Source organism: Homo sapiens, chromosome X (genome assembly GCF_000001405.40).
Source record: "Homo sapiens chromosome X, GRCh38.p14 Primary Assembly".
NCBI lineage: Eukaryota > Metazoa > Chordata > Mammalia > Primates > Hominidae > Homo > Homo sapiens.
The window spans coordinates 70,106,326-70,129,453 of NC_000023.11; the positions used below are offsets into that span (position 1 = coordinate 70,106,326).

The 23,128-nt window shown below is 42.9% G+C and overlaps 4 pseudogenes, besides 1 other annotated feature; 2 read left to right on the forward strand and 2 right to left on the reverse strand.

Moving 5' to 3' along the window:
• Positions 4,458 to 5,657: an enhancer, noted in NCBI's record as "MED14-independent group 3 enhancer chrX:69330633-69331832 (GRCh37/hg19 assembly coordinates)". NCBI's record gives its function as "activates an origin of replication core promoter dependent on BRD2, BRD4, P300/CBP and CDK7 cofactors, and independent of MED14, by STARR-seq in HCT116 cells {active_cell/tissue: HCT116}" and the evidence as "EXISTENCE:reporter gene assay evidence [ECO:0000049][PMID:35650434]".
• Positions 14,028 to 15,149, reverse strand: MTCYBP31 (MT-CYB pseudogene 31; annotated as a pseudogene).
• Positions 18,090 to 18,589, forward strand: MTND6P31 (MT-ND6 pseudogene 31; annotated as a pseudogene).
• MTND5P39 (MT-ND5 pseudogene 39) lies at positions 19,020 to 21,046 on the forward strand (annotated as a pseudogene).
• Positions 21,294 to 22,771, reverse strand: MTND4P31 (MT-ND4 pseudogene 31; annotated as a pseudogene).

Sequence of the window (23,128 nt, forward strand, 5' to 3'; positions counted from 1 at the left end):
GCTAGGCTCTCCTCCTGGATGTTTCTGTCAGTCATACCCTCCAGGTATCACGATAACAGCATTTGCTTCATTACATTGAATTCATGCGTTTGTTTGTCTCTGTCCTCACCTAGCTGTTAGAGCCTCAGGAGCAATGACTATGCATATTTATATCCCAGCAGTTAGCACAGTGCCTGGCACTCCAAAGGTCCTCAATAAATATTTAATTAACATAAATGCCTTTCTCTTACTTATCAAGTCTGCACTCTCCTGGCAGACTGTACATCCTCCATAATATGAGCCAGCCTACTGATTCAATCTTTCTTCCATTTACTTTCTAGCACATATGTGTTACATTTTCATTTCTTTTATTCTTCACTAGGTCTATAATTCACCCCTCTTCTGTAGTAGAGTGTGGTGGTTAAAAGCATGGGCTCTGGAATCAGATCTGGATCCAACAGAGTTGGGTTCAAATCTCAGCTGAATGTAACACTATTGGGCCAGTTACTTTAACCTCTATGAGCCACAATTTCCTCATCTGTAAAACAAGATGCTGTGGTTTGAATGTTCCTTCCAAAGCTCATGTTGAAATTTAATGGCCAATGTAACAGTATTGGAAGATGTGGCATTTAAGAGGTGAACAGATGAATGCTGTTTTCATGGGGGTGGGTTAGTCATTGAGGGAGTGGGCTCCTGAGAAAAGGATGAGTTCAGCCCAATTTCCTCTGTCTTCTGCACACACTCACCATGTGATGCTTTCCTACATGGGATGAGGCCCTTACCAGGTGCCAGCAGCATGCTCTTGGACTTCCCTGCTTCCAGAACAATGAGCCAAATAAATCTTTTCTTTATAAATTACCCATTGGTAGTATTCTGTTATAGCAGCAAAAAAAAAAAAAAAAAAAAAGGACCAAGAAACTGCGGTATAACAGCACCTATTTCTTATGGCACTTCACTTGTGAGGTTTTTTTTATTTTTCTATTTGTTTATTTATTTATTTATTTTTTTTTTTGAGATGGAGTCTGGCTCTTGTCACCCAGGCTGGAGTGCAATGGCGCAATCTTGGCTCACTGCAACCTCCACCTCCCAGGTTGGAGCGATTCTCCTGCCTGAGCCTCTCAAGTAGCTGGGATTACAGGCACCTGCCACCACGCCCGGCTAATTTTTTTTTGTATTTTCAGTAGAGACGGGGTTTCACCATGTTGGCCAGGCTGGTCTTGAACTCCTGACCTCAGGTGATCCGCTCACCTTGGCCTCCCAAAGTGCTGGGATTACAGGTGTGAGCCACCTCACCTGGCCACTTGTAAGGATTAATTAAGAAAATGCATGTGGAGGGAGTGAAAGATGGCTTCCCTCCACTCTTCCAGGTTCTGTAGGTGGCCTATGAATTAAATGGACATAAGACAGATTAACAGTAGAAGAAACATTAATTACATACATATGCACAGGAATCCCACAAACTATGAGACTTCAAGAAGGGTCAGATGATTGAAGCTTATCCTGAGCTATAGGAAGGAATAAGGGCTTGAGGTTTCTAGGGAGTGGTGGCAACACAAGTTAGGGGAGGGTAAGGGAAGGAAATGTTTGGTGAATAAATGTTGTTTTGTTAGGCAGACAAAAAGTCTCTCAGCTAATAAAAGTCATTCCAGAGCAGCCCTCAGAAAAATAGGTGATAGTCGGCCTGGGTGTGGTGTCAACCTCCAGTCTCCTGTGATCGTGGTTGAACCCTCCCTGGGTTTCATGACAATTAAGTTCCTTTTGGAGGAGCCAGCTTTAGGCAGATAAGGGGAGCTCAGAGACAGCCTCTGCCTGTATCCACTGTTCCCCAAGTGCCCTCAGTTCAAATAATCAGTATACCAAAGCAACATATTTTGAGGTGGCATTTCCTGAACTCCTCCATTTCCCCTGTCTGAAACTTCCCTGGAAGTTTCACACACTAACAGCTGAGTTAATGGCTGAGAGAAAAATTGAGTTAGTAGCTGAGTGGTAAGAGACCTGAGAACAGGTCAGTCCACCTAAACAGTTGTGTCTCATTTCAGGAGGTTTGTTGCAGGTGAGTTCCCATCAAAGTTAGGCCTCTAGATGATGCAAACAGGTATTTAATAAGAGACATTTCTATGGAAACAAAAGAAATACAAAGGTTAATGTTTGAAGCAGTCTATAAAGTAGTTTTTTCTTTTCTTTCTTCTTTTTTTTTTTTTTTTTTTTTGAGACAGGGTCTCACTCTGTCGCCCAGGCTGGAGTGCAGTGGTGAGATCTCAGCTCACTGCAACCTCCGCCTCCTGGGTTCAAGCGATTCTCATGCCTCAGCCTCCCAAGTAGCTGGGATTACAGGCGCCTGCCACCACACCTGGCTAATTTTTTTGTTTTTTTTGTTTTTATTTTTAGTAGAGATGGGGTTTCACCATTTTGGCCAGGCTGGTTTCGAACTCCTGACCTCAATTGACCTGCCCGCCTCCGCCTCCCAAAGTGCTAGGATTACAGGCATGAGCCACTGCACCCAGCCTCTATAAAGTAGTTTCTGAGTCTGGAGGGCAACCAGTTGAGAAGATTTCTAGATATTAAACTTCAAGCATTTTCAGTTGGAGTAGGGGCAGGCAGTGGCAATATGACCTATTTTCCTGGTTTGCAGTTGGCATCAAGTGTTACAGTGAACTTTCCGAGTAGTCCATACATCAACAGGCACAATGCTTATCCATGTGTAAGTTGTGGTGATTTCTCTGACATTTATATCAAGTCATACAGCTTCAGCTTTCAGGGCTTCAGGAAAGGGCAGTTTTAATTTCAGAAATTACAAGTCATCAGGGTAGGAGAAAAATTGGAAATATTAGTTTGCAGAGTCATAGCCAGACACTGGAGAAACTAGAAGAATTTAAAATGTAGTCTAGTTTACAGGTAAATAATAAATCCTCAAAAAGAATGAACTAAGATCTAATAATGGGTGCACTGTAATTTTCTTTTGAAACATAATTTTTCTCTCTACAGTCACCCCCATTTCTACCAAAGATAATCACAGTAAGACCAATTTATTTACAAAATAACTTATTTTCATAAAATTTGGCCTGATTATTTACATAAGTGCTTCAAGAATGGTGATTGAATTAGCCAGGCATGGTGGTACGTGCCTGTAGTCCCAGCTACTCAGGAGGCTGGGGTGGGAGAATCATTGAACCCGGGAGGCGGAGGTTGCAGTGAGCCAAGATCGCGCCACTGCACTCCAGCCTGGGTGACAGTGAGAACCTGTCTCAAAAAAAAAAAAAAAAAAAAAAAAAAACAGTAATTGATCTTACAGTCTCTTTTAAGTCTGGAACTTTTAATAAGGAATTACAGATTGGACTTTTGGAAGCCTCTTGAGGCTATAAAGCCAAACTGAAGACTCATCATCAAACTTTGCCTGTAATATTTGTAGATTTGTATGAATTCCTCTCTTCTCAAGGTCCCCAAAATATTTTGAGGTTCCTGGGCTTGCCAGGAAATAACCTACCTGTAAGGCAGCAAGATGAATTGTGTGTTCAAGATACCAGGCCAGTTTTTTTCCCCAAGGGCTTTATTGGTTCTATAAAGTCAACCTTAGTTCCCTAAAGTTATCTAGTCATATCAGAAAATATGACATTTCCATCAAGCCTTGATAATATAACCAGTGTCTCCAATTGTGTCCTATTACAAAGAAAACAGACTCTTATTGAACTTATGCAAATAATTATACTGCCATAAAAAATAAGAATATTCAAAAATAGTTTCCAAATTCTGGAAGGATCAGGTATGGAGAAAAAGGTAAATGTTGCAATTCTATTTACAAAAGTATAATTTGCCAAATTTTGTAAGTTATAGATAGCTTAAAAATGTTTAAGTTTCTTTAAATTCAGTAAACAAAATATAAAAAGAATCAGCAATTTTTTTTTTTCTTGAGACAGAGTCTTGCTCTGTCACCCGGCTAGAGTGCCGTGGCGCAATCTCAGCTCACTGCAACCTCCGCCTCCCCAGGTTCAAGTGGTTCTCCTGCCTCAACCTCCCCAGTAGCTGGAATTACAGGCACCCGCCACCACGCCCAGCTAATTTTTGTATTTTTAGTAGAGATGGGGTTTCACCATGCTGGCCAGGCTGGTCTCAAACTCCTGACTTCAGGTGATCCACCTGCCTCGGCCTCCCAAAGTGCTGGGATTACAGGCGTGAGCCACCACATCCAGCCAAGACTCAGCAATGTTTTAAACAAAAAGTCATTTTAAAAAATTTAATCTTTTTGTCAGTTCAGTTCCATGTAATTAATTCTCATTCTGCTTGATGTTAAGTTACTAGTTTCATGAGCCCATCAGTTTCTTCGTTACAGTTCTGGAAATTCTTACCCAGTCCAATGGTATGATCGTAAAGTTATCATAAACCTGTATCCCAGAGTACAGAGTACTGTATCATTCATTTAACAAGAGTCATAATTAAGACTTCAAAGGCAAATAAAGAATAGCCTTAGCTCTTATAATAGATAGGACTCTGTTTTCTTTTAAGTAGTCAAAGACCTGATAAAAGACAACATGAAGCACAGGAAATTATTTTGATAAGTAACAAAAATCTTTTCATTTAGGCAGATCACTCAAAAGGTAAAAACAAATCTTTCACTGTCTCTCATCACTACTATAAGAAAATCTTGTCATTTTAAAGGAGAAGACCAATTCTAGTTTTGCCATCAGTGTACTTTTGATATTAAGGCTCATTTTTAAAACGCTTATAACAAATTCATTAAATTTTAGTCAGTTTGACCACACAAGATTCTCCCTCACTTACTCTCTCTCTTCCCAATTTTACATCCATTAAATTTTTGTCCATCTTTTCTTCATTTGTTCTGAAACAATCTTTAAATAACCTCCCAACTGAACAAAATTATCTTTCTGTAGAAAGTAGAAAAGTTCGTCTTCAAAGCTTATCTTGGTTTAAAAATAAAATAATAGACACTAGGAATAATAGCTTCTTACTCTAAAGCCTCCTATCAACTATCAGTTCTTATACTTTAGCCCCGTTAGCTGCTTTGGCTTACCCGGGCATGTCTGGACAGGCCCAGGCAAGTCTTAGCTTATAGCTTACAGCCCTTCCTCATTTGGAAATGTTATTGCTTCCTTAAACCTTTCATAAGCAACTTCCTCTCCTTCTTTGTTCCCCCTTGCACTTACCTATTTAGGAAAGATTTAGGCTATCAGCAAATCGGGTATCAGTTTAAGACTGTGAGGTCCAGCTCCAGCCAATGGATGCAGGACACAGCAGTAAGGACAACCCAAATGTGTAAGGGATAAATATGTCTTCTTTTCCTTTGTTCAAGTGTGCTATCACCATTGTTCCATCTGTGAGAGGCACCCTTTCTGCAGAAAGTAAAAATGGCCTTGCTGAGAGAATTAAATTTATGTTCAAGTGCTATTTCTTTGCAGCACCAGGGAACAAGCATTTCTAACGCTTTCCCTCAACAACAAAAAAACACATTCACATACCGTAGATCATCTTTCTTTGTACATTTTGTATACAATGTTCTCTTATTTCTAGTAGTTTTGATTACATGTTAGGATTTTAAGTCTTAGTAACCGATATAGTTTGACCCTGTCCCCACCCAAATCTCATCTGGAACTGTAATCCCCATGGTGTCAGGGGAGGGACCTGTAATCCCCATGTGTCCAGGGAGGGAAGTGATTGGATTATGGGGGCAGTTTCCCCTATGCTGTTCTTGTGATAGTGAGTGAATTCTCACAAGATCTGATTTTTTTTGTTTTGTTTTGAGTCTTGCTCTGTCACCCAGGCTGGAGTGCAGTGGCTCAATCTAGGCTCACTGCAACCTCCACCTCCCAGGCTCAAGTGATTCTCCTGCTTCCAACTCCCAAGGTGCTGGGATTACAGGCACATACCACCATGCCTGGCTAATTTTTGTATTTTTTTAGTGTTGACAGGGTTTCGCCATGTTGGCCGGGCTGGTCTCGAACTCCTGGTCTCAAGTGATCTGCCCACCTTGGCCTCCCAAAGTGCTGGAATTACAGGCGTGAGCCACTGCATCCAGCCTCGAGATCTGATGGCTTTTAGAGTGGCAGTTTTTCCTGCACTCTCACTTCTTCCTTCTGCCACCTTATGAAGAAGGTGCCTCATTGTAAGTTTCCTGAGGACTCCCCGGCCATGTGGAATTGTTGAGTCAATTAAATCTCTTTCCTTTATAAATTGCCCAGCCTCAGGGAAGTTCTTTAGAGCAGTGTGAAAACAGACTAATACAGTAACCCTAATTCCTAGTGTAAACCTAGGAAGTAAGCAATGTTGAACTGTCATGTACTAGCACTTTATTAATACACATTTCATAATTTTTGCAAACATGTTTTCTGCTAGAACAATTTTTCATTGTGGAACAGGACATACTTACTAACAGATCCAAAATATATTTTGTACTTCTATAGAATTCAAGAAGCCGAAAGTAAATAAACTTATGTTCAGAAATTAATGTTTTAGTATTTTATCTTATTTGGAAATGATCTGGATGTTCAGTGAATAGCCACCATTCAATTTAACTTAGCAAAACTCTGTAGGTAGGAGTTACCAAAGAGATTTGGGAAACTTTTTAAGTAAACATATAATAAAACATAATTATTGTTTAAGTTTATTTATAAATTTTATTTACATCTTATTTAATTTACTCATTCTTAACAATCATGTTTGGATTACTCATGAAAATTTCATGAGACATTAGACAAAACTAGCCATCAACTCAAGTTATTTCACTATTAACTTTTTCTTTTTTTGTTTTTGAGACAGAGTCTCACTCTGTAGCCCAGGCTGGAGTGCAGTGGTGCAATCTTGGCTCACTGCAACCTCCACCTCCTGGGTTCAAGCAATTCTCCTGCCTCAGCCTCCCTGGTAGCTGGGATTACAGGTGTGCGCCACCACACTCAGCTAATTTTTGTATTTTAGTAGAGACGGGGTTTCACCATGTTGGCCAGGCTGATCTCAAACTCCTGACCTCAAGCAATCCACCAGCCTCAGCCTCCCAAAGTGCTGGGATTACAGGCATGAGCCACTGTGCCTGGGCACTATTAACTATTTTTACAGCATATGCATGTCAGGCAGTCATCACCAAAGCAAATTACATGGGTGTTTTTTTAATTTGTTTGTTGGTTTGTTTCTTGTTGACAGCTCAGAAGATGCAGCTGTTTTCATTAAACCAACAGTAACAAGCTAGTCTTATTTACCAAAGATTTACCCAAGTCACATAAACTTGAAAAATATTTGAGTTAGTTATCATATTTCTAGCAGTTTTAGTTTTTCATTTATATAAGCACTCATTTACCTCTAAGCCAATTTGGTTTTTGGTTTGTTTGAGACATGGTTTTGCTCTCTCAGCTAGGCTGGATGTACTGCAGTGGTGCGATCACAGCTCACTGCAGCCTCATCTGCCAAGCTCAAGCGACTCTCCCACCTCAGCCTCCCAAGCAGCTGGCACTTGCAGACACACACGACCATGCCCTGTTAATTTTTTTTTTAAGTAGACACAAGGTCTCACTATGTTGCACAGGCTGGTCTTGAATTCTAGAGCTCAAACAATCCTCACATCTCAGCCTCCCAAAAGAGTTGGGATTACAGGCATGGGCCACCATTCCCAACCAATGTCTACAGCCAATTTGAATAGAACTCCTTTAAGAGATTTTATACCATGGGCCTGGTGCGATGGCTCATGCCTGTAATCTCAGCACTTTGGGAGGTTGAGGTGGGCAGATCACTTGAGCTTAGGAGTTCAAGACCAGCCTGGCCAACATGGCGAAACCCAGTCTCTACTAAAAGTACAAAAATTAGCCAGGACTGGTGGCAGGCCCCTGTAACCCCAGCACCTTGGGAGACCAAGGCGGGTGGATCACCTGAGGTCAGGAGTTTGAGACCAGCCTGGCCAACATGGCAAAACCCTATCTCTACTAAAAATACAAAAGTTAGCCGAGCGTGGTGGCATGCACCTGTAATCCCAGCTACTCTGGAGGCTGGGGCAGGAGAATCGCTTGAACCTGGGAGGCGGAGGTTGCAGTGAGCCGAGGTCACACCACTGCACTCCAGCCTGGGTGATAGAGCAAGACTCCATCTCAAACAAAAAATTAAGAGATTTTTATATCATGTAGACATAACATGCAAACATGCTTGTATACACACATCCATAAGCATACATAGACATACAAACAAACACAAATAAAGATCTTATGGCATTTTACTTTAAAAGTTTTAGTCATGAGGCAGTAAAATATAGTAATATAAACTCACTGGTTTATCCCCTCATATATTTTTATGTAAATTGTGTTTCTGACCCCCAAAATTAGAACAAATTAAGGTTACCTGCTCACATGGCTGAAGCTTTTTTTTTTTTTTTTTTTTTTTTAAGATGGAGTTTCACTCTGTCACCCATGCTGGAGTGCAATGATGCAATCTCGGCTCACTGCAACCTCTGCCTCCTCGGTTCAAGGGATTCTTCTGCCTCAGCCTCCCAAGTAGCTGGGATTACAGGCACCCACCACCACGCCCAGCTAATTTTTGTAGTTTTTAGTAGAGATGGGGTTTCCCATGTTGGCCAGGTTGGTCTCCAACTCCTGACCTCAGATAATCCGCCCGCCTCAGCCTCCCAAAGTGCTGGGATTACAGACATGAGCCACAGCACCCAGCCAGCTAAAGCTTTTTACTGTTAATAGAAAAGACTTTTAAGATTTTTTTTCAGGCCAGGCACGGTGGTGCACACCTGTAATCCCAGCACTTTGGGAAACCGAGGCAGGTGGATCACCTGAGGTCAGGAGTTTGAGACCAGCCTAACATGGTGAAACCCTGTCTCTAACAAATACAAAACAAATAGCCAGGCGTGGTGGCACATGCCTGTAATCCGAGCTACCTGGGAGGCTGAGACAGGAGACTCGCTTGTACCTGGGAGGTGGAGGTTGCAGTGAGCCGAGATCGTGCCATTGCACTCCAGCCTGGGCAACAACTCCGTCTCAAAAAAAAAAAACAAAAACAAAAAAAAAAAGATTTTTCAGGTTTTTGTTGTTGTTGTTGTTTGTTTATTGCTGAGAATCATCTTCCTAAAGTTTGCATTTCAAAAGGGATAGTTCTTGGATAAGACAGAGTAGAAAATTACATCTCAAAGGCACAGAGAAAGAATGTAAGTTTTCACCAAGAAGGAGGGGGCATATTTGCCTATTAGAGGTCTAGTTTAGTTACTTTTTACAGTTTTCTTTCCTTTTCTTAAATGTAGAACTGTTCTGTTTCCAATGTTCTAATTTTTTAAAGTATCTGCAGACATCTTGAGATGAATAGGTGAAGTTTGGAGATTGATAATAAGGATAGGTGGGCTTTGAATTGCTTCTAGAGGCACATTCATGTTTTTGTAAGGACTCAATTTGTAAGACAAGGACAGTTGTTTTTAATTCCCCCCAAAATTAGGTTGCAGGCTGAATTATATCAAGGGGTTGACCAATCCATCTAATTACATTATCTATAATTTGCTCCTTTATATCAGGGAGATTTCCAACTAAGATGGAAATTAAAAGATTCCTCTGTTCTAGATTTACAGCTGTTCATCTTTGGAATGTTTTAATAATCTGTTTTCTTTCTTTCTGAGTATATAGTTCCATTTTAGCTCAAGAGAGAAGGCCAGAAAAAAAAAAGTTCCTCTTATGCTCTGGATATATATAAACCAATGTTCTAAACCAAAGGTATACCTAATAGATCACTCAAACCAAAACTAATAAGCCTCTTTTGGCTTTAACCATGGACATATGAGGCATCTCCAGAGAGGGAGCAAGAAGATGCAGCCCTTCCAAGACACAAAGCCACTCCCAAAGACAGCCAGAAGAAAACCTTAAGACGATGATCCTGAGAGCCGGCAACAGTAGGTACATTAGCCTCAAATGGGGCACAACCCACATTCCTGTCCAGCCATATTTTGGGGTGCTCCCAACCTTTTGGTTGGCTGCCTGTACATGCAAGCCTGATAACCCATGTGCCCCTAATAAGCAGAAAGTTAAACCAAGTTCTCAAGACACAAAAATGAGACAAACAGGAAAACAATAGCTGTTCACGAGAGAGAAAGGATCACTAACAAATGGGTACTCCAAAACCAAAAGTCATAATTCAAAGCAATTCTTACAAATGTTTCTCTCCTTAGCTAAAGGAATGTAATGAGGAAATGGAGCCAGATTTGAAGGAGGGGAGTTTTAAATTAGGACCATGAGATCCAAAAGATATTTTGAAGGGTGAGGGACAGGGAATTGGGGAAGTATAAGAGGGCAGAGAAGTAAAATTTACAATGAGTTAAAAGGATTTTAACTTTGTTCTAATCTGATTTCTGCTTTTTGATCTTGCTAAGGGTGTCTCTAAAGTTAGCTGTTATACCTCTTTATGTCCTTTTTTCAATTTGACCTTCTCATAGGTACCAATAAATAGTTGTTTAGAACAGCCCTCTGAAAATACATTTTTTTAATATAGCCAATTCATTTATCCTAAAAGTGACTCAACCAATAACTCTTTTCACAGAAACATGTAGAGTTAAACCAAAAGTTATTCTAACTCTCCAGATTTAGAATATGTGACCTGAGAGACCAAAATAGATTCCCTTTTATCAACTAAGATGTACCCTAAGGTTAAGAAAATAAAACTTACCTGTATTAGTCTGTTCTCGCATTGCTATAAAGAACTACCTGAGACTGGGTAATTTATAAAGACGTTTAATTGGCTCACGATTCTGCTGGCAGTACAGGAAACATGATGCTGGTATCAGTCTGGCTTCTGGTGAGGCCTCAGGAAACTTACTATCATGTCAGAAGGCAAAGGGGTAGCAGGCATGTCACATGGTGAAAGCAAGAGCAAGAAAGCGAGGGGGAGGTGCCACACACTTTTAAATGTTCAGATCTCACTTGCTATCATGAGGAAAATACCAAGGGGGATGATGTTAAACTATTCATGAGAAATTCACCCCCATAATCCAATCACCTCCCTCCAGTCCCCACCTCCAGCAATGGGGATTACATTTCTTTATTTTATTTATTTTTATTATTTTATTTTATTTATTTATTTATTTATTTTTTGAGATGGAGTGTTGCTCTGTTGCCCAGGCTGGAGTGCAGTGGCACAATCTCGGCTCACCGCAACCTCTGCCTCCGAGGTTCAAGCAATTCTCCTGCCTCAGTCTTCCAAGTGGCTGGGATTACAGGCACCTGCCAACACATCCGGCTAATTTTTGTATTTTTAGTAGAGACGGGGTCTCACCATGTTGGCCAGGCTGGTCTAGAACTCCTGACATCAAGTGATCCACCTGCCTCGGCCTCCCAAAGTGATGGGGTTACAGGCGTGAGCCACCACCCCCGGCTGGGATTACATTTCAATATTAGATTTGGGTGGGGACACACATCCAAACTATATCACCCACAGAATGTGGGATGCCTCCAGTCACAAACCTCCTGGTCTGTAACACTAGGCAAGTGATATTGGGATGGGAATTTCCAAGCACTAACCAAGCAATGAAGATTAAAACAACAAAAGCCCCTTATGGACTGGGACTGCTTATTGTGACAGACTCCCCTGAAAGCTGACATGGCCAGTCAAAGAAAATGCTGCTTGCCACTTCTTGTCTCAGGTTCCAACCTGTTTGACTGGCTGCCTGATGCAAGCCCATACTTGAGCCCCACTCCAGCAGATGGCAGATATCAGAGAGAGTGTTCTCTGGTCAGAAAGCCAAGCTCTCAGGACATAAAACAAGATGAAAGGAGAACCTCATCAGTTTATTTGTCTCTGGGACCCACACCAAAGTTTGTCTAAACTGACACCACTTTGGTGAGAACCTTAAACTCACCAATCTGTGAGGCCAGCTTGAACAACAGGTTTATAAGGGCCTGTGCCCATGTTCTGCCCTATGATTCTACTCCTCATGACACATGACATGAAAGACAAAATAAATGAAAAACAAAGACCATATCTGGGAAGAAAGGGATCAGAAAACAAGAATATTCATAATCCCCTCCCCCAAATACTAGAATCCATATGCAGGAACTACTTCAGTGGCCAGGCACAGTGGCACATATCTGTAATCCCAGCACTTTAAGAGGCTGAGGTGGGCAGATCACTTGATGCCAGGAGTTTGAGACCAGCCTGACCAACAAGGCAAAACCCCATCTCTATTAAAAATACAAAAATTGGCAGGATGTGGTGGTGCACACCTGTAATCTCAGCTACTGGGGAGGCTGAGGCATGAGAATTGCTTGAACCCAGGAGGCGGAGGTTGTAGTGAGTCAAGATCATGCCACTGCACTCCAGCCTAGGTGACAGAGGGAGACTCTTATCAAAAAAATAAAAAGAAAGAAAGAACTAGTTCCTACACATTTCTTCTGCTAATCCAAATTTAGAAAGGGTAAGACAAAGGGACTCTTAACACTCTTGCTTCAACCAGACTCTGAAGGAAGAGACCTGAAAACCTGCTGTGGTCAGAAATCTTACCTGTGGCTAGCATTTTCGTCAGGGGTCTCAGGATCCTATAGTTTCAGCATTTGTGGAGTGAGCTGGTCCCTGCCAGTGAGGCCCTGGGTTGGGTGCCAACTATAGGGGAGCAAAAATAGGCTTTCCTCCACCCTTCTAGGTTCCTTGGCTGGGCTATGAATTAAATGGATATAAGACAGATTAACTGGATTTTGAAAACCTATTTCATTACATACATATGTATGGGAATCCCACAAATTATGAGACTTGTAGAAGGGTCAGATTATTGTGTTATAGGACCAACAGGTTTGTATGCCCACTGTGCAGTAACATACCAATACACTGAAACAGAAGGGTTTGCAGCAGAGAAAGAGTCTAGTGATTGCATGGCACCAAGTGAGGAGATGGGAGGAGACCCTCAAATCAATCCTCTCAAGGAGTTCTGGGCTGGGGTTTCTAAGGGGATCATGGAGGGTGAGGGGGCTGGAAAATTGGGGCCATTGATTGCTTGGGGTAAGGGGGATGAAATAATCAGGATGTGTAAACTGCATTCTTTGGTGAGTCAGCTTCTTGTGGGGTTCTTCACCCCAGCTGATGTTAGTAGTTTCACTGGCATACAGGACCTGAAAGAATATCTCAAATGGAAAACTTAATACTTTATAATGTTCAAGTTGTGCACTGTATTATCATTATGTTCATCAAGCATGAGTGAATTAGCACCTTATGGTTATAAATGTTGACTCATAATATTCAATTTAATCCAGCTACAATTGACTTGGCTGGGTTCAGGCTCCCACCGTGCTGGATCATAGCATCCCCAAATTTTAAAAATACCAAATGCATGACAGTGCTCCCATGAGTGATCATGAGGTGATTAGTTATTGTTCCATTGAGATGTCTTATTTAAGGGGAACAAGCTGGCAATCTTAGTGTCCATGGCCCTGAAGAACCAGATGCCAGGTTTAATTTCAGTATAAGTCACACCTAAGTGTTATGGGCCTGGAGCAAGGAAGGTAGAACTTCCCGAGTGGGTTTCTAATTTCTCAAAGCTTGGTAGTTTAAGAAGGTGAATTGGAGGTGATAAGCGTGTTAACAAGGAATTATTTGACTTGGATGTGCTATGTACCATAAATGACTGAACGTCTTATGTAATATTAAGGATTTGCTGTACTGGACAATGGGCGTGTATGCAAATCTGTCCTTGTGGTATGTTCAATAAATGTATGATAGGTTATTATGGCATTATTGTTCTTGCTGGATATTCATGGAAGTAGGAATTTAATGTATGATAATACATCAATGTACAATGTATGATTAAGCATATATGATACTGGTACATTAATTCTTGGGGTCGAGCAGGAATGCACAATGTACATAGTTGTACTATTAATTTTTGTGGATTCTTCAATACTGACATAGCAGTTAAAATAAAATTACTGTACTCCCAAGTAGAGAAATCAGGGGATAGTTAAGGTACAACTTAAGCTTTGGGTGCTAGTGGTGAAGCAGGAAGCTTCCTCCTTGAAATTGTCCTGGGGAGGAGGGCCCTCCATTTTTGGTTTACAAGACCAAAGTAATTTAATTATACTACAAGGACTTCTTCATTTGGGTAACTTGTTTTCTATTAGACTAGTGAGTGACATGAAAACAAGGATGAGGGAAAAATATGCAATAGATGCTGCTTAGCCGATGATGATGAAGGGGTGTTGGACAGCTTGGCCTCTGATTCATGTAAGCTTAAGAAGGTCTGCTACTAAAACTCAGCATAAGCATTGACTTAATGGTTGAAATATCATGCTTCGCTGCTTGGATATGTGAAGTATTGGAAAAATAGTTAGGATACGAATGAAGAGGACAAAGGCCAGTACCCCTCTTACTTTGTTAGGGACAGAATGTAGAATTGTGTAGGCAAACAAAAAGTATCACTCTGGTTTATTGTAGGATGGTGTATTGAGGGTATTTGCCAGAGTCTAGTTGGTCAGGTGAGAATAAATAGGTCAGATGAGAATAAAGTAGTAATAGAAGAAAGGGGATCAGGCTTAAGATGTCTTTGTATAGTAGGGGTGAAATGGAATTTTGTTAGAATCTGATGAAACTCCTGACAGATTGTTAGATGCTGTCTTGTGGAGAAATAAAAGGTGGACAGCTACTAGGGCTACAATAACAAAGGGTAAGATGAAGTGAAGGCGAAGAATCGTGTGAGGGTGGCCTTGTCAACTGAAAAGCCCCGACAAATTCACTGCACAAGGTCAGTGCCAGTATATGGAATAACGGATACGAGGTTGTGATTTCTGTTGTACCTTAGAAGTTTATCTATCCTCATAGCAGGACATAACCTATAAATGCTGTACTATTATGGCAAATAATAAACTAATACCAATGTTTCAGGTTTCTAGGCAAGTATAAGACCCGTAATATAAGCCTCATCCTACATGTAAGAAGAAGAAGATGAAGAATATTGATGCTCCATTGGCATGTAGATATTGGATAAATCAGCCATAATTTACATCTCAACAGATGTGGGTGATGGAGGAGAATGCAGCTATTATATCTGGTATATAGTGTATGGCTAGGAACAGTCCTGTAATAATTTGTAGGGCCAGGCAGTCACCTAGAAGAGAGCCAAAATTTCATCATGCAGAAATGTTTGGTAGTGCTAATAGGTCAATAAATGAGTGATTAATAATTTTTATTAAGCAGTGGGTTTTTTGGATGTTGGTCACTAGAGTTCTTATAGTCGAAGTACTGTATTAGGGCTCTCTAGAGGGACAGAGCTAATGGAATATATATATATATATTTCATTATATATACTCCCTTTATATATATATATATATATTTATATGAGAGTTTATTAAGTATGAACTCACACGATCACAATGTCCCACAATAGGCTGTCTGCAGGCTGAGGAGCAAGGAGAGCCAGTCCAAGTTCCAAAACTGATGATCTTGGAGTCCAATGTTTGAGAGCAGGAAGCGTCCAGCATGGGAGAAAGATGTAGGCTGGGAGGCTAGGCCAGTCTCTCCTTTCACATTTTTCTGCCTGCTTGTATTCTAGATGCACTGGCAGCTGATTAGATGGTGCCCACCCAGATTAAGGGTGGGTCTGCTTTTCCCAGCCTGCGGACTCAAATGTTAATCTCCTTTGGTAGCACTCTCACAGGCACACCCAGGATCAATACTTTGTTTCCTTCAATCCAATCAAGTTGACGCTCACTATTAAGCATCACAAGTACAACGATGATTTTTCATGTCATTGGTCATGGCTAAATTCCATGTGAAAATTATGACATCGACTGTGTAGGAGTTAAAGAGGAGCTGGGCATGGTGGCTCAAGCCTGTAATCCCAGCACTTTGGGGGGCCAAGGCGGGTGGATCCTGAGATCAGGAGATCAAGACCAGCCTGGCCAACATGGCAAAACCCCATCTCTACTAAAAATACAAAAATTAGCCGGGGCGGGGGGGTGGTGGCGGATGCTTGTAATCCCAGCTACTCAGGAGGCTGAGGTCGGAAAATTGTTTGAACCTAGGAGGTGGAGGTTGCGGTGAGCCAAGATTGCACCATTGCACTCCAGCCTGGGCAACAAGGGTGAAACTCCATCTCAAAAAAAAAAAAAAAAAAAAAAAAGAACGGAAGAGCTCTCCCTCTCCCTCTCCCTCTCCGTCTCCCTCTCCCTCTCCCTTCCCCTCCCCCTCCCCCCTCCCGTCTCTGTCTCCCTTTGCACGGTCTCCCTCTGATGCCGAGCGGAGGCTGGATTGTACTGCCGCCATCTCGACTCACTGCAACCTCCCTGCCTGATTCTCCTGCCTCAGCCTGCAGAGTGCCTGGGATTGCAGGCAGGCGCCGCCACGCCTGACTGGTTTCCGTATTTTTTGGTGGAGACGGGGTTTCGCTGTGTTGGCCGGGCTGGTCTCCAGCTCTTGACTGCGAGTGATCTGCCAGCCTCGGCCTCCCGAGGTGCCGGGATTGCAGACGGAGTCTCGCTCACTCAGTGCTCAGTGTTGCCCAGGCTGGAGTGCAGTGGCCTGATCTCGGCTCGCTACAACCTCCACCTCCCAGCTGCCTGCCTTGGCCTCCCAAAGTGTCCAGATTGCAGCCTCTGCCTGGCCGCCACCCCGTCTAGGAAGTGAGGAGCGTCTCTGCCTGGCCGCCCATCATCTGGGATGTGAGGAGCCCCTCTGCCCGGCTGCCCAGTCTGGGAAGTGAGGAGCGCCTCTTCCCGGCCGTCATCCCATCTAGGAAGTGAGGAGCATCTCTGCCCGGCCGCCCATCGTCTGGGATGTGGGGAGCGCCTCTGCCCCGCCACCGTCTGAGATGTGAAGAGCGCCTCTGCCTGGCCGCGACCCCATCTGGGAACTGAGGAGTGTCTCTGCCCCGCTGCCACCCCGTCTGGGAGGTGAGGAGCGTCTCTGACCGGCTGCCCAGTCTGAGAAGTGAGGAGCCCCTCCGCCTGGCAGTCACCCCATCTGGGAAGTGAGGAGCGTCTCCGCCTGGCAGCCGCCCCGTCCGGGAAGTGGGGGGCAGCCCCCGCCCGGCCGCCACCCCGTCTGGGAGGTGGGGGGCGCCTCTGCCCGGCCGCCCCGTCTGGGAAGTGAGGAGCCCCTCTGCCCGGCCGCCACCCCGTCTGGGAGGTGTACCCAACAGCTCATTGAGAACGGGCCATGATGATGATGGCGGTTTTGTCGAATAGAAAAGGGGGAAATGTGGGGAAAAGAAAGAGAGATCAGATTGTTACTGTGTCTGTGTAGAAAGAAGTAGACATAGGAGACTCCATTTTGTTCTGTACTAAGAAAAATTCTTCTGCCTTGGGATGCTCTTAATCCATAACCTTACCCCCAACCCCGTGCTCTCTGAAACATGTGCTGTGTCCACTAAGGGTTAAATGGATTAAGGGCAGTGCAATATGTGCTTTGTTAAACAGATGCTAGAAGGTAGCATACTCGTTAAGAGTCATCACCACTCCCTAATCTCAAGTACCCAGGGACACAAACACTGCGGAAGGCGGCAGGGCCCTCTGCCTAGGAAAACCAGAGACCTTTGTTCACATGTTTATCTGCTGACCTTCCCTCCACTATTGTCCTATGACCCTGCCAAATCCCCCTCTCCAAGAAACACCCAAGAATGATCAATAAATACTAAAAAAATTAAAAAAAAAAAAGAACGGAAGAAAGAGGAGACAAACACGAAACGCTGCTTGCAGTTAAAGACAGGTTTACTTTAGATAAAACCTGAGAGGCGCTCCTGGCTGATTTTGGTCAGGAGCGCTTTCTCTTATGGACTAAGAGTATATATTGGTTTTAGGGTGAGGGGGCTTATCACAAGCTTGGAATGTTTCTGTGTGGAGAGAAGTTTCTGGCAGAGTTGGAATGTCTCTGGGAGGAGGCAAGACAAAGATGTCTTGGGGCAGACATCTTTCCTGCCAGAGGGGGCTTATCTCGAGGCTGGCATCTTCCTGGCTGGAGGGGTGTTTATCTCAGGGCTAGCATGTCTCTGGTCGAGCAGGAGTTTGGAATGTTTCTGGTTGGAGATGCTATTTGTGGTTTATGGTCATGCTGACCTTAGCCATTAGGCTGATGCCCTTTGGATTTAGGCGGTTTTTTACTAAGGTGAACTTTAGAATGAGGGGCTCATCCAAGATGGCAATGTTCCTGCTCTGTCAGACTGTATTTTTATTAAGTGCAATTTTTGTTGTGGGCTTTGTGGGTTCTTCTTCAAAGCCTTCACCTATTTATGGAGGTTTAGGGTTGATCATTAGTCGACGAGTAGGTTGTGGTATTGTGTTAAATTTTGGTGGTGCTTTTCTGGGGTTAATCTTTTTTTTAATTTACTTGGGGTGAATGATAGTGGTTTTGGAATGTACTACAGCAATGGCTACTGAGGAGTACTCTGAAGCTTGGGGCTCAAGTGTTGTTATGGGGTGCCCTGTTGTTAGGGTTATTGTTAGAATTATTTATGGTTATGTGAATAGTGCATTATGATGAGGTAGAAATTATTACTGATTATTAAAATATGGAAAATTGGGTGATTTTTAAGGGTGAGGAAGTAGGGCTTTGTGAAGATTCTGTAGGTATTGCTGCATTGTACAGTTATGGTAGTTGATTAATGGTGGTTTCCGGTTTATCTTTGTCAGCATTTTTATTGTGATTGAGATTACTTGGGGAAACAGGGTTATATGATTAAGAATAAGATTAGAAATATTGGGATAAGAAAGGAGAGAAAATAGAGTTTGGTTAGGCCTTTTTGGCTGGATACAGTGATCGAGGCTAGTTTTTAGAGCTGGGCTATATTTTTTGGTGTTGCTTTTTCTTTTCTTTTTTTTTTTTCTTTTGTTCTTCAGACGGAGTTTCACTCTTGTCGCCCAGGCTGGAGTGCAATGGTGTGATCTTGGCTCACCGCAACCTCTGCCTCAGCCTCCTGAGTAGCTGGGATTACAGACATGTGCCACCATGCTTGGCTAATTTTGTATTTTTAGTAGAGATGGGGTTTCTCCATGTTGGTCAGGCTAGTCTCGAACTCCCGACCTCAGGTGATCCACCTGCCTCGGCCTCCCAAAGTGTTGGGATTACAGGCGTGAGCCACCACACCTGACGAAGATTAAGTTCTATTGCTACTGAAAATCCTAGAATAGTTATGCCAAGGGCTGTAAGTTTTAGGAAGAGGGGCATAGTTATTTGGGGAATAGGTATAGGAGTAATATTGCTGGAGATGAAAAATCCAGCAAAAATACTACCAATTGCTAGGCATTTAATTTAGTTTATTAGAAGGGGGTTACTTTTTGTTTTTTGTTTGTTTGTTTGCTTTTGAGATGCAGTCTTGCTCTGTCACCCAGGCTGGAGTGCAGTGGCGCGATCTTGGTTCACTGCAACCACTGCCTCTTGGGTTCAAGCGATTTTGCTGTCTCAGCCTCCCAAGTAGCTGTGATTACAGGCGAGTGCCACCACGCCCAGCTGATTTTTTGTATTTTTAGTAGAGGTGGGCTTTCACCATGTTGGCCAGGCTGGTCTCGAACTCCTGGCCTCAAGTGATCTGCCCACGTCAGCCTCCCAGAGTGCTGAGATTACAGGTGTGAGCCACTGCGCCTGGCCTGAGTTATTTTTGTTGATGACAGCTAAGGTTGTAAAGCAAGGCTGTCCTAGCAGTGTGAAGAAAATAACTCGGGTACTGTATACAGCCTTTAGGGAGGTGGTGATGAGTGTAATTAAGAGGGCTCAGCCATTGGTATATGATGTGCTTGTGGTTTCAATGATGAGATCGTTGGAGTAGAAGCCTGTAAGGCATGGTATACCTGCGAGGCTGCCAATGATAAGTGAGGAGGAAGTGAAGATGTCTTGTTCATTATTTAGATTATGAATAATAGATCCAGAGCATATACACTATGGCTTTAAGAAAGTGTGAGTATAGATATGAAGAAATGCTAGGTGAAGTTGATTAATGCCAGTTGTAACTACTGAGACCTAGTTGACTCGAGGTAGAAAATGCTACAATTTTTTTGATATCATTTTGTGTTAGAGCTCAGATCGCTGTGAATAAAGTGGTGATGGCACCTAAGCATAGTGTAAGTGCCTGAATGATTATATTATTTTGTATTAAGGGGTAAAAGCAAATTAGTAGGCAGATACCTGCTACTACTATTATGCTAGAATGAAGGAGGGCAGAGATGGAAGTTGGGCCTTCCATGGCTGATGGAAGTCATGGATGAAGTCCAAATGGAACTGATTTGCCAGTTGCTGCTACTAGGAGCCCAATTAGTAGGAGGATATTGGGGTTGGGGTTAAGAATAAATATCTGTTGAAATTCTCATGTATTAGAGAATGATAGGAACCATGCTATTGCTAAGATGAAGCCAATGTCTCCAATGCGATTATGTAGAATTGCTTATAGGGCTGCTGTGTTAGCATCTGTTCAGCCACATCATCAGCTGATTAGTAGTAAAGATACGATACCTGCTCCCTCTCATCCAATGAAAAGTTGGTAGTGACTAGAATTAGTATGGTGATGAGAAATGTGAGTAAATATTTGAAGAATGATTGATATTAGGGCCTGAGTGTATATATAATATTTATTTATTTATTTATTTATTTATTTATTTTTATTTATTTTGAGATGGAGTCTCACTCTGTTGCCCAGGCTGGAGTGCAGTGGCATGATATTGACTCACTGCAACCTCCACCTCCTGGGTTCAAGTGATTCCCCTGCCTCAGCCTCCTGAGTAGCTGGGACTACAGGTACACACCACCACGCCTGGCTAATTTTTGTATTTTCAGCATGTTGGCCAGGCTGGTCTCAAACTCCTGACGTCAGGTGATCCACCCACCTCAGCTTCCCAAAGTGCTGGGATTATAGGCGTGAGCCACTGTGCCAAGCCATCATATTTAAATTCTATAACCAACCATGTGATGAAGAGTGCTACCGGTATAAATACTATTGAAAAATAATCTAGTTTAAAGCTAAGTGAGAGTTTTAGGGTTTGGGTGGTCTTTCAGTGTCATTTTGAGATGATGGTTTCCTGAAGTGGGTAAATAAATGTAGTAGTTGGAATGAGACTGGTAATGAAGTGCTCATGTGATGGAGGTTTTTATGTAGGTGAGGTAGGAGTTACTTTTGTAAATATTAGTTGAAGTAATAATAATTGGAAAAGTTAAGGTAAAGGAGGAGAATATATGTATTACTTTTATTTGGAGTTGCACCAATCTTTTTGGCTCCTAAGGCCAATGAATAGCTTCTATCCTTTAAAAGCTGAGCCTTATTGTTAGATATGGGGACATGAATTAGCAGTTCTTGCATGCTTTCTTGGTAAATAAGAAGTTGGAGGCTTCTATTATTAGACTCACAATCTAATGTTTTGGTTCAACTGTATTTACAATATATGAAGCCCAAAATCATTTTGGGGTTCAGTGACAGGAAGAGGAGAGGTAAAAGATGTATGGACATTAAGGTGTTTTCTCATGTAAAGGAAGGTTTAATGCTATTAACGTAATAGGTAAATATCCCTCATTGTGTTATAATTAATATATATATAGTGAATAGAGGGCTGTGATTAACATGTTAAGTCCTATTAACACATACTGAAGTTACATCAGGAGAATGAAGCTATAGTTACAAAAAATTCTCCAATTTGGTTGATGGTTGTGGGGAGAGGGAGATTAGTAAGACTAGCTAAAAGCCATCACACACCTATTAGGGGAGTGTTTGGAGACCTCAGTGCTGCTTGGCCCACTGGAGACCTCTGTGGCTGGCAATGCCCCTGGCTGGGCCTCACTCAGCCCTGGGCTTGCCACAGGAGGCACCCTGCTCACTCGGCCCAGTGGGCTGCACTTGGCTTGTGCTCCGGCCTGGATCCCCCACTCACTGTGGGATCCATGCTCAGCCCTCAGCTGGGCCAAGTGTGCCACGACCTGCTTCCACCTTGGGCTTAGGCGTCTGGATGAAGGGACTGTGGTGGTGCCTGAACAGGGATGCCAGTGACCTCGAAGCCGCAAAGGGGGTGTTGCAGCATGCTAACAGCTCTTTCAGTCCCACTGTCCACAGCCTGACAAAGGAGGGCATGTGGCGCTCAGCGGCTCCCTCTCCTGCTTGCTCAGCAAGCCAGAGGCGAGTGCTACAGTTACAGTTCTGTTCGCACACACCACTCAGGGGGTCCCAAGTTCTTCTCCCACATCCAAGAAGAATGAGGTTATGCTGACAGACAGTGGGTGAGCAAGGCAAACTGAGTGATGAAACAGCTCTCAGTGGAGAGGGGGACCCAAGTTGGGCAGCCCTTTTACCCAAAGTCAGGTAGGCTCCCCACAACCTGCAGGCGGGTAGTCCCAAAGTGTGAATGAGTCTGGGGCTTTTATGGACTCAGAATGGGGAAGTGTGTGCTGATTAGTTTGAGTGTGCAAAAAAAAGGCTAAAAAAAAGACACCACTCAAAGATGGGCACAACGGTGTAAAAAACTAATTAGGGAAGGGTAGGTATATGTAAAATAGGTGAAGGGTGGGGATCAATCAGAGGAAAGCACGCCAAACAGGAAGAGAGGTTCTCAATCCGGTCTGTGGATTTATTCGAGACTTGTAGCTTGGTTTTCAGACTTTAAACTGTCTTTGGTTTGAAGGTCAGGTTTCACAGGGGACCCGCCCCTGTCTGCCTAGGGATTTGTCTGCCTCCTGCTGCTATCATCAGGCTAATAGTATTGTTCAACTATGGATTCGTTCATAATTTGAGTTTGCAAGGCAAAACAGTATAGATGATGTGAGTCCATGGGCAATTATTAGGACAACTGCACCCATAAAACTTCAGGGTATTTGGATGAGGATGGCTACAGTAAAAAGTGCCATGTGGCTGCTTACAGAAGAATAGGCAATGAGATATAGAACAGTTAAGGGGAACTATAATCTTGTAACAGGGTCTACATGATTTTGAAGCAGTAGGCAGCAAACAACTATGAGGAATCAGGTCAGAGGGCAAGCTGACCTCATGAATTCAGCATGAAGCTGAATTTGCTGCGAGTTTGGTTTATTTTTTTTCTCTCCCTCCCTTCTTCCCTGATTAATTTTATGAAGTTTATAGGGATTGTTTCAATTGAAGCTTACACAGCATCCTGAACTACAGAAAGGAATAGGGGCTTGGGGCTTCCTGGGGGCTGGTGGCAACACAAGAGTTATGGGAGAGCAAGGGAAGGAAATGTGTGGTAACAGAGGTTGTCTTGTTATGCAGATAAAAAG